General features: G+C 43.8%; 1 long non-coding RNA gene and 1 pseudogene across 1 annotated transcript in view; both read left to right on the top strand.

Moving 5' to 3' along the window:
* Positions 1–12368, top strand: part of LOC284344 (uncharacterized) — a 36856-nt gene extending 24488 nt beyond the window's left edge. Inside the window, exons 6-9 of the long non-coding RNA NR_033888.1 lie at positions 1201–1268; positions 3917–4171; positions 8780–8906; positions 11684–12368. This is a non-coding gene — a long non-coding RNA (uncharacterized LOC284344). The remainder of the gene's footprint in view (positions 1–1200; positions 1269–3916; positions 4172–8779; positions 8907–11683) is intronic.
* CEACAMP10 (CEA cell adhesion molecule pseudogene 10) lies at positions 3260–4171 on the top strand (annotated as a pseudogene).
* Positions 12369–18438: the final 6070 nt, after the last annotated feature.

The following is an 18438-nucleotide window of genomic DNA, read 5'->3' as shown; positions in this document are numbered from 1 at the left end:
TTAAAAATTTTCACTCAGTTCTAACAACAAGTAAAAAGCTGAACAAACTGAAAAATCAACAACTCGTTTAGATTTCTCAGGAAGCAAGTTCTCAGTGCTAACTGGACCACATATTGGAGAGACCCACAGGCAAATACAGAGCAGTGCACCGTACCTGAGCAGAAACATAGGCACAGAAACCCCAGTGGGAACCAGTGCTGGGGTCAGAAAACCTGAACTCTAATTGAGGAAATTCTGGAGGCTCAGTGTGGACACAGCGCAGAGATAAACACAACAGTGGATGGATTAGTCTTGGGAGTAGGGGGACAGTTTTATGACTTTTAGCTCCTGGAGCTCTACCAGGTTCTCACAGTCAATATCAAACAAGAATCCCTGCATCCTTCTTGTAGGAAGAAGGGAAAAAAACACTTGGAAAGTTGTCAGTGAATTATATTCTTCTTGGTAAGACCTAAATTTAAGAGAAACTATTTTACTGCAGCCTAATTAGCTGGGGTTTGATGGGAGCTTAACTGGCCAGGGGGAGGGGAAATATCCAACTCCAGCCTCCTCAAGTCATCATATCCCACCTAATGGAAAGAAAAACCTGAGAGGCACTTGTGACATTCACAGCCCAGGACACAGACCTCATCCAGAACCACAGAACCCTTCCCTCGCCACACTCACCACCATGTCACTGAATGCCTGCTCACTCAAGTCCCTTTTACCCAGTACATCATGTGTAGTTTTCAAAAAAATACAAGACAGACTATGGCAAAAAAAAAAAAAAATAATAATGCAGTTTGAAAGACAGAGCAAGGATTGGAACCAGACACAGATGTTGTAGGGATGTTGAAATTATCAGACTGGAAATTTAAAACAACTCTGGTTAAGGATTATGATGGAAAAAGGAGACACCTTTCAGGAATAGATGGGTGACTTAAACAGAGATGGCTATTCTAAGAAAGAAGGAAAAGAAATAATAGAGATTAAAAACACTTTAAGAGAAATAAAGAATGCCCTCCATGGGCTTACTCGTAGGCTGCACACAGCTGAGGAAAGAATCTCTAGCTTAAGTGTGTGTCAATAGGAACTTCCAAAACTGAAACAGCAAAGTTTAACAAGAGTGAGAAAAAGTGGAACAACATATTCAGCTTCATATTCAATATTTTGTATCAACAATAGCATATTTTATATTCTGAAGTTGTATTTTATATTTTGCAGCCTAAAAAGCTGTAACATACACATAATGGGAATACTGGTGGTTCCTAGGACCAGGTGGAGCTGGCCAGGTGGGTGCTGTCTGATTTACTGCCTGTTTCATACACACCTGTGTATTCATAATAACAACATTGTCATAAGGTGTGGTCCTTCGTTTGGGGAGATGCATGAGCCACTGCTGCCTCACTTGTACTCTGCCCAATTTAAACAAAGTTAATTAAACTCTAATTGTTTGACCCTGCTCAATTCACACTTCACCAACATTGCTGCTCGATTCACACTTCAGAAGTCTATGCATCTCCCACACAGAGCAGGTGGCCCCATGGCCTCTGAGCCCTCAGATCATCATGCATCCATCTGTCTTTTGGTACACAGACCTGCTGTGGGCTTTTAAGGACATGGATTGGCTGAGAGGTGGGAGATGTCAACTGTGATTGGAAAATGCTCATGGAGAAATCAGTGGTGCTGAGAGGTCACAGCATGCTGGTAGTCCTCACAGCCCTCGCTCGCTCTCGGTGCCTCCTCTGCCTGGGCTCCCACTTTGGCAGCACTTGAGGAGCTCTTCAGCCCACCGCTGCACTGTGGGAGCCCCTTTCTGGGCTGGCCAAGGCCAGAGCCAGCTCCCTCAGCTTGCAGGGAGGTGTGGAGGGAGAGGCGCCAGCGGAACCGGGGCTGCGCGTGGCGCTTGCGGGCCAGCTGGAGTTCCGGGTGGGCGTGGGCTTGGCAGGCCTCGCACTCGGAGCAGCCGGCTGGCCCTGCTGGCCCCAGGCAATGAGGGGCTTAGCACCCGAGCCAGCGGCTGCAGAGGGTGTACTGGGTCCCCCAGCAGTGCCAGCCCACCGGCGCTGTGCTCGATTTCTCACCGGGCCTTAGCTGCCTTCTGGCAGGGCAGGGCTCGGGACCAGCAGTCCGCCATGCCTGAGCCTCCCACCCCCTCCATGTGCGGCCCGAGCCTCCAGTGCGGGGGGAGCCTCCCTGAGGAGTGCCACCTCCTGCTCCACAGCACCCAGTCCCATCAACCACCCAAGGGCTGAGGAGCACGGGCACATGGCGTGGGACTGGCAGGCAACTCCATCTGCAGCCCCAGTGTGGGATCCACTGGGTGAAGCCAGCTGGGCTCCTGAGTCTGGTGGGGATGTGGAGAACCTTTATGTCTACCTCAAGGTTTGTAAACGCACCAATCAGCACCCTGAGTCTAGCTCAGGGTTTGTGAATGCACCAATCGACACTCTGTATCTAGCTACTCTGCTAGGGCCTTGGAGAACTTTTATGTCTGGCTCAGGGATTGTAAATACACCAATGGGCACTCTATCTAGCTCAAGGTTTGTAAACACACCAATCAGCACCCTGTGTCTAGCTCAGGGTTGGTGAATGCACCAATGGACACTCTGTATCTAGCTACTCTGGTGGGGACTTGGAGAACCTTTGTGTGGATACTCTGTATCTAATCCGGTGGGGAGGTGGAGAACTTTTATGTCTAGCTCCAGGGATTGTAAATGCACCAATCAGCACCCTGTCAAAACAGACCACTCGGCTCTACCAATCAGCAGGATGTGGGTGGGGCCAGATAAGAGAATAAAAGCAGGCTGCCTGAGCCAGCAGTGGCAACCTGCTGGGGTCCCCTTCCACATAGTGGAAGCTTTGTTCTTTTGCTCTTCGCAATAAATCTTGCTACTGCTCACTCTGGGTCTACACTGCTTTTATGAGCTGTAACACTCACTGTGAAGGTCTGCAGCTTCACTCCTGAAGCCAGCGAGACCATGAGACCACAAGCCCACTGGGAGGAATGAACAACTCCAGACACGCCGCCTTAAGAGCTGTAACACTCACCACGAAGGTCTGCAGCTTCACTCCTGAACCAGCAAGACCACGAACCGACCAGAAGGAAGAAACTCCAAACACATCCAAACATCAGAAGGAACAAACTCCAGAAGCGTCAACTTAAGAGCTGTAACACTCACTGTGAGGGTCCACGGCTTCATTCTTGAAGTCAGTGAGACCAAGAACCCACCAATTCCGGACACAGCGCCACACAGAGGAATCTTATCTGTTATCTGCACAGTGAATCTGCCCAAGCCCTATGTCACCAGCAACCCCGCGGAGGATGAGGAGGCTGTGGTCTTAACCTGTGAACCTGAGACTCATGGCACAATCTACATGTGGTGGGTAAATAGTCATAGACTCACACTCAGTCCCAGGCTAAAGATGTCCAATGATAACAGGATCCTTGCTCTACTCAGTGTCACAAGGAGTGACACAGGACTCTTTGAATGTCAAAGGAAGAATGTAGTGAGTACCAGCCACAGTGACCCAGTCACCTGGATGTTCTCTGTGAGTATCCTCTTTTCCTTCATGGACAAGGCTGCCAGCCCAAATCCACATAACACGAGGCCAGGCCTCTCAGTCCCTCTCAGGTCCAAGTATGAATACACTTACCCCTAGACCCCCAAGCTGGCCATGACTTGCTGCCCCAGGCAAACCTGGGTAGGCCCAGGAAGGGAGGGGCTTCTCTGGTCTTAGGAGACTCTGGTTCCACAGCTTGTGATGGGAGAAACAGGTGAATGTCGTTGACTCCTCCAGTTCAGTGAACACAGAGGAAGTTTGGCTGGGACTTTGGGGTTGTGACTTGGCAAAAAGGAACACTGTGCCCCTTTCACAGACCAGGAGCTTCCCATTCCCTCTGATAACATTACCTGTGACTTTATTCTCTTTGCTCCAGATGGCCCAGATGAACCCACAACTTATTCTTCAGACACCTTTTACTATCCAGGGTCAAACCTCAATGTCTCCTGCCTTGCGGGCTCTAACCCATCAGTAGAGCATTCTTGGCTGCTGAATGGGAATAACCAGCAAACAGGACAAGAGGTCTTTATCTCCCAAGTCACTACAGAGAATAGTGGGGACTATCTGTGTTATGTCCATAACCCAGTCACTAATGGCAAAAACTTCGCAACCAAGAAAATCACAGTCCCTGGTAAGTGGATCGCTGGAGCATTGGCAATATGCTTTCAGGTGAAGCCTATCTGGCTTTCCAAGAAAGAGCCAGGAAAACATTTTTATTCTCAGCCTGTGTCCCATGCACAAAAGTAAATCCAAATTTTTCTCCTGAACCCTCCCAATTCATATCTACAGATTCTCTTCCCTTTGTTTTCCGGATTTCTGGTGGATGACCTTGGGTCCAGCCTGAGAAATGTAGGGAAATGGCTTTATCAGCCCCAAGCACTATGCAGTATAAGGGCCTTCATGGAGGGAGAAAGAGGAGGGTCCTCATGGTCAAGCTGTTTCTGTCACCAAAATATCCCTTCTGTCTCCTTTGTGTGTGTGTACTCCATGAGCTGTGATGAACATCAGAGGCTTCAAAACAAGCCCACACTTTTCCCCAAATGAGAGGAGGAAGCCCCTTGGGTGAGGGAGAAGCAGCTCAGACTCTGCTCCCTGCATTGCTGTGGGCTCACCCAGTGACTGACCCTACCCTGACTCCACCCGGGCTGGGGCCAGGGCATGTGGATAAGGTGCCTGGGTGGCCGGTTCTGAATCTGGCTAAATCGAGCTGCCAGTAGAAGCCAAGCCTCCCATGAGTAAGGCTTTAAAAAATGGGAATAGGGCTGTGTCCTGGCTCTGAAGTCACTGCCTCTCTGAGTCTGTGGACGCAGCACATGGAATACACCACAGAGGACAGTGAGTGACACACACTTGGAGAAATAGGGAGATTAACTCACAGAAGCTCTCTATGGCAGGGAAGGAACAGTGACAAAAAGTGTGTATTTATAGAGAGGGTAAGAGTACTAGACACTATATATCTAAGACTCACCATTAACTGTTTCTAAGCGTGAAATTTAGTGTTGTGTAACTATCAACACTATCCATTTCCAGTGCTTTTTTTTATCCTACTATACTAAACCTCTGAACCCAATAAATGATAACTCTCATTCCTTCTCCCCTTAACCCCTGGTAATCACCATTCTAATTTCTGTCTCTATGTAATTGACTATTCTAACTATCTTACATAAATGGAAGTATATAATAATTATCCTTTTGTGTCTGGCTTATTTCACTTCGCATAATGTCTTCAAGATTCATCCATTTTGCACCATGTGTCAAAATTTTATCCCTTGAAGATTGAAGAACATTCCAAAGCATGGATATACCTTTTTGTTCACCCACTTATCTTTCAATAGACTTTTCGGTTGTTTCCACCCATTGGCTATTGTGAGTGATGCTGCTGTGAACATCAGTGTACAAATATCTGTTCAAATTTTTTTCAATACTTTTGGCTGTATGTCCGGAAGTAGAATTGCTGGTTCAAGTGGTAATTCTTTAATTTTTTTAAGAATCTGACATACCATTTTCTTTCCTGTTGTTGTTGATATTGAGACAGGGTCTTGCTCTGTCACCCAGACTGGAGTGCAATGGCACAATCTTGGCTGACTGCAACCTCCACCTCCCAGGTCCAAGTGATTCTCATGCCTCAGCCTCCCGAGTAGCTGGGATTACAGGTGCATGCCACCATTCCCAGCTAATTTTTGTATTTTTAGTAGAGATGCGGTTTTGCCACGCTTGCCAGACTGGTCTGAAACTCCTGACCTCAAGAGATCCACCCATCTTGGCCTCCCAAAGTGCTGGGATTACAGGCGTGAGCTGGCCGTGCCATGCCATTTTTCCACAGTGGCTATAACATTTCCCATTGCCATCAGTAATACGCTAAGAGCTTCAATTTTCCCACGTACTCGAAAACATTTGTTTTCTGATGTTGTTGTTCATGTTGTTTTTATCAAAGCCACCCTAATGTGTGTGAGGTCATGTATCACTGTGGTTTTGATTTGCATATCTCTAAGTATTAATATTGAGAATCCTTGCATGTCCTCATTGGCCATTTGTATATCTTCTTTAATAAAATCTCTATTTTAGTCTTTTCTCCATTTTTTTATTGGGTTCTTGGATTTTTGCTGTTTTTGGTTTGTAGTGTTCTTCATGTATTCTGGAAATTAATCCCTTATGAGATATATGATTTTCAGATATTTTCCCTATGTGATAGTTTGCCTTTTTACATTCTTGATAATGGCCTTTGATATATAAAAGTTTTAAATTTTCATGAAGTCCAATTTATCCCTTTTTTGTTGCCTATGCTTTTGTAGTTATAACTAATAAATCATTCTGAAATTCAATATCATGAAGCTTTTTCCTCATGTTTTCTTCTAAGAGTCTGGTAGTCTTCACTCTTCCATTTAGGTCTTTGATCCATTGTGGGTTCATTTTTTTGGATATGGTGTGAGGTAAAGGTTCAACTCATACTTGTCCATGGATAGCCAGCTTTCCCGGTATCACATGTTAAAAAGACTGTCCTTTCCCCATGGAATGGTCTTGGCACTCTTGACAAAAATCATTTGGCCATATATGCAAGCTTTCTTTCTGGGTTCTCTATTCTATGCCATTAGTTACTATGTCCTCCTTTATGCCAGTACCACACTGTATTGATTACTGTAGCTTTGCAGTAGATGCTGAAATCTGAAAGTGTGAGTCCTCCAGCTTCCTTTTTCCTTTTCAAGATTGAAGTTTTTCATTCCATCCTGGACATGTTGCACTCAGATATTTTTGAAGGATTTGGAATGTGAGAAAGGCTGATTGCTATTTTCTATGACTTTAGAACTTTTCACCATTTCATAGTTGCATCTTTCTCTTGGTGTCTCAGTTGTGGCAGCAATGAGTGGCCTCCATGGCAGGGACTTGATTGACAGAGGGCCCAGGTCAGAGCATTCCAAATTCACCTTATATATGATAAGTCTATCGTGTATATACTTATCATTTATATATGATAAAATTGGCATTTATATTACATATGTGAATTTTACATATAAATGGCCTAGTGTTTTATGTGTAACCTTTTTTATATATATGGAAATATGTATATATTTTAAATGGTTGTATATATATACTTTTAGATTATATATTTTATATAAATAAATATATAGAGATAAATATGTATATGCTTTTTCCATATGTATATATAGAAAAAGAGGTAACACATAAAACACTAGGAGGCTGTGGACACAGCACATGGGACACAGCACAGAGGACAGTGAGGGACACACACTTGGAGAAATAGGAGATTTGGCCATGGGAGCTCTGCATGGGAGGGAAGGGGCAGTGACAAAAAGTGTGTATTTATAGAGAGGTTAAGACTACCAGACACTATATATATATATATATATATATATATATATATATATATACACACACATATATATATATACACACACACATATATATACACACATATATATATACACACACATATATATACATATATATACACATATATATATACACACATATATATATACACACATATATATATATATACACATATATATATATATATATACTATATATATATATACACATATAAAATATGTCAGTTTTATTATATATAAATGTCCTGGTGTTTTATGTGTTACCTCTTTTTCCATATACATATATGGAAATGTGTATATGTTTTACATTATTATACATTTTATATTATTATATATTTTGTTATTATATATTATATATAAATAAGTATATGGAAATATATATATTTTTCCTATACACAAGAAAAAACAGGTAACACATAAAACACTAGGACACAGTTACTGGCTACATGTGGGAGAGAGAGAAAAAAGCTAAGTGCAAAAAAATCAAGCCTGGTATGTTAGTTTATACCCACTGAGATGCATCCAAGATGAGATTAGACATGCAGGATAATGTATTAGGAAAAATGCCTGTGAGGGAAAGTGGGGCAGGCATGAAAAAAGTCTGGGAGAGCCTTGAGAGCACTATGCAAATCTGACTCCTGTGAGGGAGAAAGAGAAAGAAGATTTAGCTTCAGTTCAAAGAGAGCATGGCAAGGCTGACAGGGAGTCCTCCCACCAGTCACCCAAGAGAGTAAAACAGAATCTCGCAGAACGGGGCTTGCTTTCATATCCCTGCTGGGAGCTTCAGGAAAGTGAGGACTCTATGCAAAGTAGGTTGTCAATTTGGAATGCACTGATCTGGGCCTTCTGTCAATCAAGTCAATTGATTATTAATTAATCAACTATTAGCTGGGAGTATTGGGATTACCTAGGGAAATTTTTCAACATACATAAGCCTATACTTTCTGGGCCCTATTCATTAATGGGCTCCACCAAGAACTCAGTAATCCTTTTGAGAAACACAAGCTGCCATGGAGAACTGACAGTCTTATTCATGCCTACCACAACTGACACACTGAGAAAAAGATGCAACCACGAAAGGGTAGAAAGTTCTAATGACACAGAAAATAGCAGTCAGCCTTTCTCACATCTTTATGATACCTTCAAAAATGTCTGAGTGCAGCATGGTCAGGATGAAATTGACAGAAGACTGATCACTAACCTAGAAACACATTGAGAGATAAAAAAACTGCAAGAATATAGTTGGCTAATCATCTACCAGCAACCCTCCCACAAAATTAATCCCTGAAGGAACAAGTAGAAACTACCTCATACTTAGTGATGGTTCCTAAGGTAGCACACTGTAAAATAACATCACCTTTATTCCTTCTCTTCTTTTCTTTCCATGACAGATACTTCAGTACAAGAAGTACTCCTGGCCTTTCAGGTAGAGCCACTGTCGGCATCCTGATTGGAGTACTGGCCAGTGTGGCTCTGATCTACCAGCCCTGGTGTAGTTTATTTCAGGAAGACTGGAAGGTATGATGGCCTTTCCTTTTGTCCTGTTTCCTGCAGGGCTGACTGCCTTGCTTGGGAGAGGGAAAGGACTTCTTTGCCAGTATTTGGGACTGGATCTCCTCCTCCTCCCACTAAACTCCTGCTTCTCAGCATTTATTCCTGCAGGTCTCTTCTCCCCTGTTCTTCATGCTCCCTGTACCCCACTGTCTCCTACAAATGATTATCCTCAACCTCTGCTAATTTGTTTCCCAGATTCAATATCTTATAAAACCTTCTTGATCCTTTTTTTTAACATCTCTCACTTGTGTCATTCTCTCCATTCCCACAACCTCAATAACTGCTAGAGGTACTGTTTGACTTACCTCCAGTCTTTGAAATCTTCCTTGTGTGTGACTGCCTTGTTACCTTCCTAAATTCTAGTTAACTCCCCTATTCAAAAATCTTCAGAGATCGACTCTTGCCTATTTGATAAGTTCACATTTCTTCTCTTTACTAATTTTTACTGTTTCCATTACCTCTATTCCCTAGTGTAATTCCTCCATTCTAATTAAATCTGTCTGTCTACACATCCCTTCCCTTCCACCTGATATACACATAGAATGCTTAGTTCCAATGCCGTGGCTAAAAACAGTGTGATCTCCCATCTACCATCTGCATTATGGGCTTACCCATACCCTTCATCAAAAGCAACCTCTGACCTCCCAGAGGAAAATGACTCCAGCATTAATGTGTAAACCTGAGACTCAGAACACAACCTACATGTGATTGAGAACCTTTTCCTGATGACCAACTCATATGTTCATGAACGATACAGAAATGAAGAAGGCAAGGTTTCTACCCCAAGGAACATAAAGCCTAAGATAGATGATAAGACCAGAAAAATAATTATAATACCAAAATAGAAAAAAAGTGAATGCCACAAGAAATCAGAGAAATCTGATGGGAAATATAGCTTCACATTGGAATCACCAGAAAACATTTTTTTAAATGGATGCCCAAGCCCCACCCAGAGGATCCAATTTAATGGTCTAAAGTGAGACTCAGGCATTGGTAACTTTTTTTTTTTTTTTGAGACAGAGTCTCACTCTGTTGCCCAGGCTGGAGTGCAGTGGCACCATCTCGGCTCACAGCAAACTCCACCTCCTGTGTTCACGCCATTCTCCTGCCTCAGCCTCCCAAGTAGCTGGGACTACAGGCAACCACCACCACACCCGGCTAATTTTTTTGTATTTTTAGTAGAGACAGTGTTTCACCGTGTTAGCCAGGATGGTCTCGATCTCCTGAGCTCATGATCCACCTGCCTCAGCCTCCCAAAGTGCTGGGATTACAGGCATGAGCCACTGCATCTGGCAGGCATTGTTAGTTTTTAAGTCTTCCCAGATGCTACTAATGTGTAACCAGGATAAAGAACAGCTGTTCTAATAGGTAAAACTTAGACCTAAATTAATGCTTATTAGCTGGGAGTATTGGAATTATCTAGGGAAATTTTTCAGCATACATGAGCCTATACTTTCCTGGCCCTATTCATTAATGGCCTCCACAAAGACCTCAGTAATCCTGCTGAGAAACACAAGCTACATGGAAAAGCCACTTTATTTGATATGTAAAATTATATGAAAAGCATTTTCAAATCATAAGTGGTAAAGGATGCTAAACTTTCTCTATGTTATATTAATGGATATGTTACTGATATGATTGTTCCAGAAATTGTATGAGATTCCTAGAAATTAAATATGTTATCAGCCATAATGTCATATACCACAGAAGTAACTTTTTTTGTGAGCTGTGTTATCATAATGAATTATCATCAGAGTTTAAACCATAGTCATTTAAAATCTTTGTCATTCACAGATGTTGTTTTTATTCTTCCTCAAAGCATTTCCAATCAGCTACAGTCCAAAACTGCTTCCTTTTCAAGGAGATTTATGGAAAAGATGCTGACAAGAACTCTTTAATACAAGTTTCTGATAACTTTCAGATTATACCACTGGACTGTCTAAGAACTTCCAAAACTTTAAGAAACAGGCTGATATCTTCTTAAAATTCCCAGCCTATACCAAGCAGGAAAAACACTGATTTCATTGAAACAATTGATAATAATGAGGATAATGTTTTTATGATTTTTGTTTGAAAATTTGCTGATTCTTTAAATGGTTTGTTTTCTAGATTTATGGAATTTTTTTCTTTTAATCTATCTATAGCTTATAGCAGTTCAATAAACTATACTTCTGGGAACTGTAATTGAAACATTTACTTTTGCTCTCTACCTGACTGCCCCAGAATTGGGCAACTATTCATGAGTATTGATATGTTTATGGTAATACAGATATTTGCACAAGTACAGCAACAATCTGCTCTCTTTGTAACAGGACACATTTCAAATCATTGGTTATATTACCAAGGCTTTGACTGGGATGTTATATTTAAGAATATAGACAGAATGAACCAGTATGAACTGCAGGCAAAGTCTAAACTCAGCCTTGGTTTGGCTTCCTATTCTCAAGAGGTTTGTAAAAGTTTAATCTGAGATTCCTTATAAAAACTTAGAGCAAAGAAAAATTTTAAAAGAGATCCTACATGGTCCATTGCTACTCTTGCTGCACTTATGTAAAGAATCAGACCACGTTTGAAGAAACTCAACCTATTTTGCAAACAAATTTATTCTACTGAAATTATCATTGGTAAAACTAGAGATGCCCATAGAGAGAAAAATAATGTGGAAAATAAAAACCGTAGTACACCGGTTATGAGATTGCAACTTTGTTCATTGTTTCTGTGTTTTTATTATCTACCTGTAGACTGGATATTACCCTGAATTCTACTAGTTCCTCCAATTCCATTTTCTCCCATGGAATCACGAAGAGCAAGACCCACTCTGTTCCAGAAGTCCTATAAGCGGGAGGTGGACAACTCAATGTAAATTTCATGGGAAAACCCTTGTACCTGAAGCGTGAGCCACTCAGAACTCACCAAAATGTTCGACACCATAACAACAGCTGCTCAAACTGTAAACCAGGACAACAAGTGGATGACTTCACACTGTGGACAGTTTTTCCCAAGATGTCAGAACAAGACTCCCCATCATGATGAGGCTCTCACCCCTCTTAACTGTCCTTGCTCATGCCTGCCTCTTTCACTTGGCAGGATAATGCAGTCATTAGAATTTCACATGTAGTAGCTTCTGAGGATAACAACAGAGTGTCAGATATGTCGTCTCAACCTCAAACTTTTACGTAAAATCTCAGGGGAAATGTGGCTCTCTCCACCTTGCATACAGGGCTCCCAATAGAAATGAATACAGAGATATTGCCTGTGTGTTTGCAGAGAAGATGGTTTCTATAAAGAGTAGGAAAGCTGAAATTATAGTAGAGTCCCCTTTAAATGCACATTGTGTGGATGACTCTTGCCATTTCCTAAGAGATACATTGTAAAACGTGACAGTAAGACTGATTCTAGCAGAATAAAACATGTACCACATTTGCTAATACTGTTCTCTTAAAATAATTTTAAAAGAATGGGGTGGGCCCTCCCATGTGTTTAGGCCAGGTCTCTGAACACAATCCTCCATCTGCAGTAACAATGCCTAAGAAGATGACATGGACTTTGTCCCGATATGCAGCCATTCCTGTATACCCTTCCCCTGCTGCAGGGCCGTACCAGCCCAGGGCCCAAATCTTCAGCTGCAGAGCTGAGACAGAACATGGGATACCCAGCATCCCTTACCTTCTTCCAGTTCACTGCAGTGGCTACTGGCATGGCCCATTTATCCCTGAGGACACCCATCTGCTGACCCACAGTTTCTAAGAGTCAGACTTTCCTGGCTTCTCTGAGCCCCAGCTACTTTCACTCTGCTGAATCCTTCTTCTCCCCACAGGTGTCATTGACTTAGCAGACACCTCTTTCAGCTGCAGCTAACAGGTAAGCCAAGACCCAGACCCCAGAGGATAAACAAGGATTTCAAAACCTACTGTGTCCAATGGAGATGCCCACTTGTGGGCGGCAAGCCACCCAGGTGCCGAGGCAAGAGACCGAGGACACCAGCTGTTCCAGTATAATAAAATATAAAAGAAGAATAGTTATACCAGATATAGATCTTAGATATGATTATATATGAATATTATTAATCATTAGTTGGTAGCATTGCTCTTTATTCCAATATTATAATAATCTTTGGTCTATAATCATAACCTAGGAAAAGCCAGGCCATACAGCGATAGGAGCTGGGGAGACATAGTGAGAAGTGACCAGAAGACAATAGTGCGAGCCTTCTGTTACGCCCAGACAGGGCCACTAGAGGGCTCCTTGGTCTAGTGGTAACGCCAGCGTCTGGGAAGATGCCGGTTTCCAGGCGAACCATGATGTCGTGGTAGCCTCAGTGTCGAGGAAAAACACCCACTACTTAGCAGACCGGGAAAGGGAGTCTCCCTTTCCCCGGGGGAGTTTAGAGAAGACTCTGCTCCTCCACCTCTTGTGGAGGGCTTGACATTAGTCAGGTCAACCCGCAGTTATTCAGAGGCCTGTCTCCCTGTGATGCTGTGCTTCAGTGGTCACACTCCTAGTCCACCTTCATGTTCCATCCTGTACAACTGGCTCTGCTGTTTAGTTAGCAGTAGCAAATTAGTGAAAGTACTAAAAGTCTCTAATAAGCAGAAATAATGCTGTAAGCTCTCTCTCTTTCTCCTCTCTCTCTCTGCCTTGGCTGCCAGGCAGGGAAGGGCCCCCTGTCCAGTGGACATATGACCCATGTGACCTTACCTATCATTGGAGATGGCTCACATTCCTTATCCTGCCCCTTTGTCTTGTATCCAATAAATATCAGCACAGCTTGGCATTCGAGGCCACTAACGATCTCCGCATCTTGGTGGTAGTGGTTCCCCAGGCCCAGCTGTCTTTTATCTCTTTGTCTTGTGTCTTTATTTCTACAATCTCTTGTCTCCACACATGGGGAGAAAAACCCGCCGACCCTGTGGGGCTGGTCCCTACACCCACTGTACAGAGACAAAGAAATAGAGATGTATACAACTCCCCAACAACATTGTATCACAAAACAACATCCTCTCTGCCCCTCATCATGGAATTCACTGTCTCTCACCACGTGGGCAGGTGCTTCCAGGGTCTCACAATTCTTCCACAAGAGGCAATGCACACTTTAACATAGCACTTCAGCAAATAAAGTGGTGAGAGTTTACCTACTTAGATAAAGTTTCTTAAAAGGTTCTCCCAAATTTCCCCCTGAAGAAGACAGAAAAGGCTTTCCCAATGGTGAAACATTGGCCTCCCCACCTTTCAGAAAAGGAACACTGAATAGCCACAATAATCTTGCCAAAATAAATTGTAGGCTTGAACTTTACTTGAAACCTCGCAAAGGAGTACAATTATTAAAACAGAAGCTGCTGGCAAAAGAATGGACATAAAGACAAATGGGATAGAATTGAGAGTCTAGAAATAAACCCTCACACTTATGATCAATTACTCTTTGAAGAGGGTGTCAAGACAATTTAATGGATTAACAATTCTTCTTTCAAATGATAGTGCAGAAACTAGATAACCACATGCAAAACAGTTAATTTAAATAACTCTACCTCCCACCATATGAAACAATTCTCTAAAAAATTGATCAGTGAGTTAAATATAAGACCTATAACCATAAAAACATCTTAAAATAGACACAGAGGTACATACTGATGACCTCAAATGTGCCATGGATTCTTAGATATGATACAAAAGCATGAGTAACAAGAAAAAAAGATAAATTGGGCTTTATCAAGATGTGAGCCTTTTGTGCATCAAAGGAAATTATCAAGAAAATATTTAATAGACACCGAATGAGAGAAAATACTTGCAAACCACATATAGGCAGTTTTCATGTCCAGATAATATCAAGAACTAGCTACAACTCAATAAAGAAAGGACAAATCATCCAATTTATAAATGGGCAAAAGACTCAAATAGACATTTCTTCAAAGAAGATATACAAATAGTCAAGAAGGACATGAAAAGATACTCAACATCAATAGTCATTAGGAAAATACAAAGTCAAAGCTGCAAGGAGACACCACATCACACCTACAAAACTGGCTAACATTCTTTTAAAATGTTAAATAACAAGTAGCAGTATTATGTAGAATTTGAAATCTTCATACATTGCTGGTGAGAATATAAAAGGTACAGCCACTAGGAGAAACAGTTTTGCTGTTTCTCAAAAAGCTAATCACAGAATTCTCATTTGAAACAACACCCATTCCTAGGTATATACCCAAAAAATTAAATCCAGGGACTCAAACAGGTACTTGCATGGGAATGTTGATTGCAGCATTATTCACAAAAGATAAAATATGAAAACAATCCAAGTGTTCATCAACACATGAATAAATAAATATGGTGACACATACAACAGAATGTTAATCTGCCATAAAGAGGAATGAAGCTCTGACACCCGCTGGAACATGCATGGACTTTGGAAACATTATGCTAAGTGAAATATGTCAGAAACAAAATAACATCATTGTATAATTCCATTTATATGAAACATCAAGAATAGGCAAATTCATAGAGACAGAGTAGAGATGATCAAGGTCTAGAGTAGAACATACAAAGAGTTATTGTTTAAAAGATACAAAGTTTCAGTTTAAAATGATAAAAATTTTCTAGGGAAAATAGTGGTGATGGTAATTTAACATGGTGTATGTGGTTAATTTCACTTGATCGTGGATTTTAAAGTGGTTAAAATAGCACATTATTCACAGAACTGTGAAAAATAGATTTCTATTATTTAATTCACCCAGGCTAAGGTGTTTGTTATGGCAGCTGAAGCCCATGAATCCATCATCTGAGCCAGTGTTTCAATGAAAGGCATCAGTTTTCAATCAAGTTAGCTGGAAGCTCCTGTATCCAGGAGAACCAGAGGCCCCAAAACAAGAGCTCCAGCAGGGGCTCAACCAGCACAGGTCCCATAGGACAGCCTCAATGTCAGGCTCTGGATGGCATGTGAGGCTACAATGATACAACCACAACGTGAAAATGTATGTTCTTGTACTACTTACAGACACTAGGGAGCCCTCGGCACATTTGGAGACCACAGACACAGAGGTCAGTGAGCCCAGGCTTTATTAAGTCCAGGGTGTTATCTGACAGGTTTCCAGCAGGGAGCTTTAATGGATGTGTTCAAAGCAAGCAACAAACACTGGGACCAGGAGCTCACGCTGTGACTGAGAGGAGGTCACTTTAAATGTGAAGGCGAATGTCAGAATTATCAGTTTAAAGAAGCAGCTGCAGAGAGGGGAGTCCAGCACACCAAGCAGGAGAGATGCCTCTAAGATTTTATCTCTGCACACCAACTGGAGTCACTTGAACCAGATACAGTATTGAAAACTGCCATGGTGACCAAGCCCTGCCTCTGATTTGAGGCAAATAAACTTACATCTTAAAAAATGAATGCCAAGGCAACATGACACTATGAGCCTCATGACATCCAGGGACACCAGCAGGGTGTGGTACTGTGCCCTGGAGTCAGAATCCTGGGTTCTGGTCCCTGGGAGTGAGAAAAAGAAAATGACTTGTCCCTGCCCCCCGATATTGATCTTCCCACCCTGCTGCTCCCTCTTCTGCTCCCAAGCCCACGTGCACTGCTCAGCCCCAGACATCACTGCCCCCAGGGTATACACAGTGCTGCCTACTGCACACAAACACAAACTCACAGAAGGTGACAAAAATCTGCATTTGGGACATCTGATTGTGAAAGAGGGAGAACAGTGAACGTAGAGTCACACAGACTGGGACTCAAGGGGCTGGAAGGTGATGGAGCTGTAACATAACATATGTGTGACCTCATGTAAAGTGTGCAGATCCACATGGAATAAAACATGCAGCCTGGCCTGGGATTGCTGCCGTTCACACTTCCCTCCCTGTCCACCAGAGGGCGACAGAGTCCTTCCCAGCCTGGAGCCTTCCTAGGGGATGCCAACCTCCCTCAGCGGAACCCACAGCCCAGCAGGGTCCACCCTCACCAGGGTCACTTCGGCCCAAGTCTTCAGAGCCCTCCATGCTCCCAACACGGACTCTGTCAGCTCCTTCCTGACCCGCAGCCGCCAACCTAACACCACTCCCTCTGCAGGTAGCTCCTGCCCCACACACCTGCTCCTTCCCTGGGCCCAGCTAAAGGCATCTCCCGGGCAGCGATGGTGCACGCGACGCCACACTGGACGCTTTCCCCTCGTGACCTCCCTCCATCCTCATCAACTCTTTCTGTCACTGCTCCCTAAATGCCCGCCCCTGCTCCATCTGTCCTGTTCTCTGGGGCATCCCAGGCCAAGCCTAGCGCTGACACAGAACAGCGGCTGCCTGAGGGCCCACAGCCTCCCCGGGAATCAGCCAGGCACCCTGTGTCCTGCCTGCCCACTGCAGCCCAGGGGGCGCAGAGAGCGTGTGATGGTCACACACAGGCACCATCCGGGATGTGGCCACCTGCCACCAGCTGTCCCTTGGGAAGACAGACCTCTCCTGTGTGCTTGTGGGGAGAAGGGGGGTGTTATTTTTCTTTGCTCCCAGAACACAACTCACCCCCACCCGCCCTCTCAGGTGTGAGCAAGGTCCCTCCAGACAGGCTCTCTGGCCACTGCCTGTTCCTCCTCTACAGAGAGCAGCTTGGCCAGGTCAAAACCCTCAGGACAGACCCCTGGGTATGTCAGCACAGGGAGGGCTGAGCCCATCATGGCCACGGAGTAAGTCGGGATGAATCTCTCCAGCTCTGAACCCCTGCTCTGTCCCAGGCTCCCCCTCCTGCGTCTCAACAAGCCATGTCCCGCGGGGTTCCTGGGTAACTCCCCACTTCCTCCTGCACCACCACGGGGAAGGTGTGGTGACCACAGGACAATCAGCTGGGCAGAGAAGAGAGGACATCAAAGGTGGTCAGGGAGAACATGAGAAACCCTGAGCTCCAGCTCAGCCGCCAGACCCCAGGGAGACACAGAGTGACCGAGAACTGTCCCTTTGACTCTGGGATTCACAGCCCCCACTGAGCAATCAGCACAGGCCTCTCCTCCCAAGAGGCCTGAGAGATTCACCCTGCACACCTCCAGGATGGATAGTTTCCTCTGGGAAACCCAGGTACTGAATGTTCATCCTTGGAAGCTGCAGCCAAGCTAGACACGATTAGAGAAAGGAAGGGTCCCTCTTACCAGACAACACAGAGCTCACCCACAGCACAATGGGACGTCACTGTGACGGGAACCTTGTGCAGCTCCTGCACTGAAGGGGAGAGCCAGATGAGGAAGGAAGAGGGTAAAGGGCGTGAATGTGCACCCTACCCCAGAGCCATGGGGACAGCAGGAGGCTGAGGCCCAGGACTCTGCTTGCCTAACCTGCAGGGTATGTGTGTGACCATGTGGGTCGTGTGTGTCTCTTCTGTGTGTGTGTGTGTGTGTGTGCATCTGCACAAAGTGTGTGTTGAGGTTTGGTGAAAGAATCACTGCTGAAAAATGCAGAGGCCTCCACAATTCCCAGGGACCTGAAACACAGACAAAAGGAAAAACAGGAGGGACAAGGAGGCAGAACT

This window comes from Homo sapiens, chromosome 19, assembly GCF_000001405.40.
Source record: "Homo sapiens chromosome 19, GRCh38.p14 Primary Assembly".
Lineage (NCBI taxonomy): Eukaryota > Metazoa > Chordata > Mammalia > Primates > Hominidae > Homo > Homo sapiens.
This window is presented reverse-complemented; position numbering and strand designations above follow the sequence as displayed.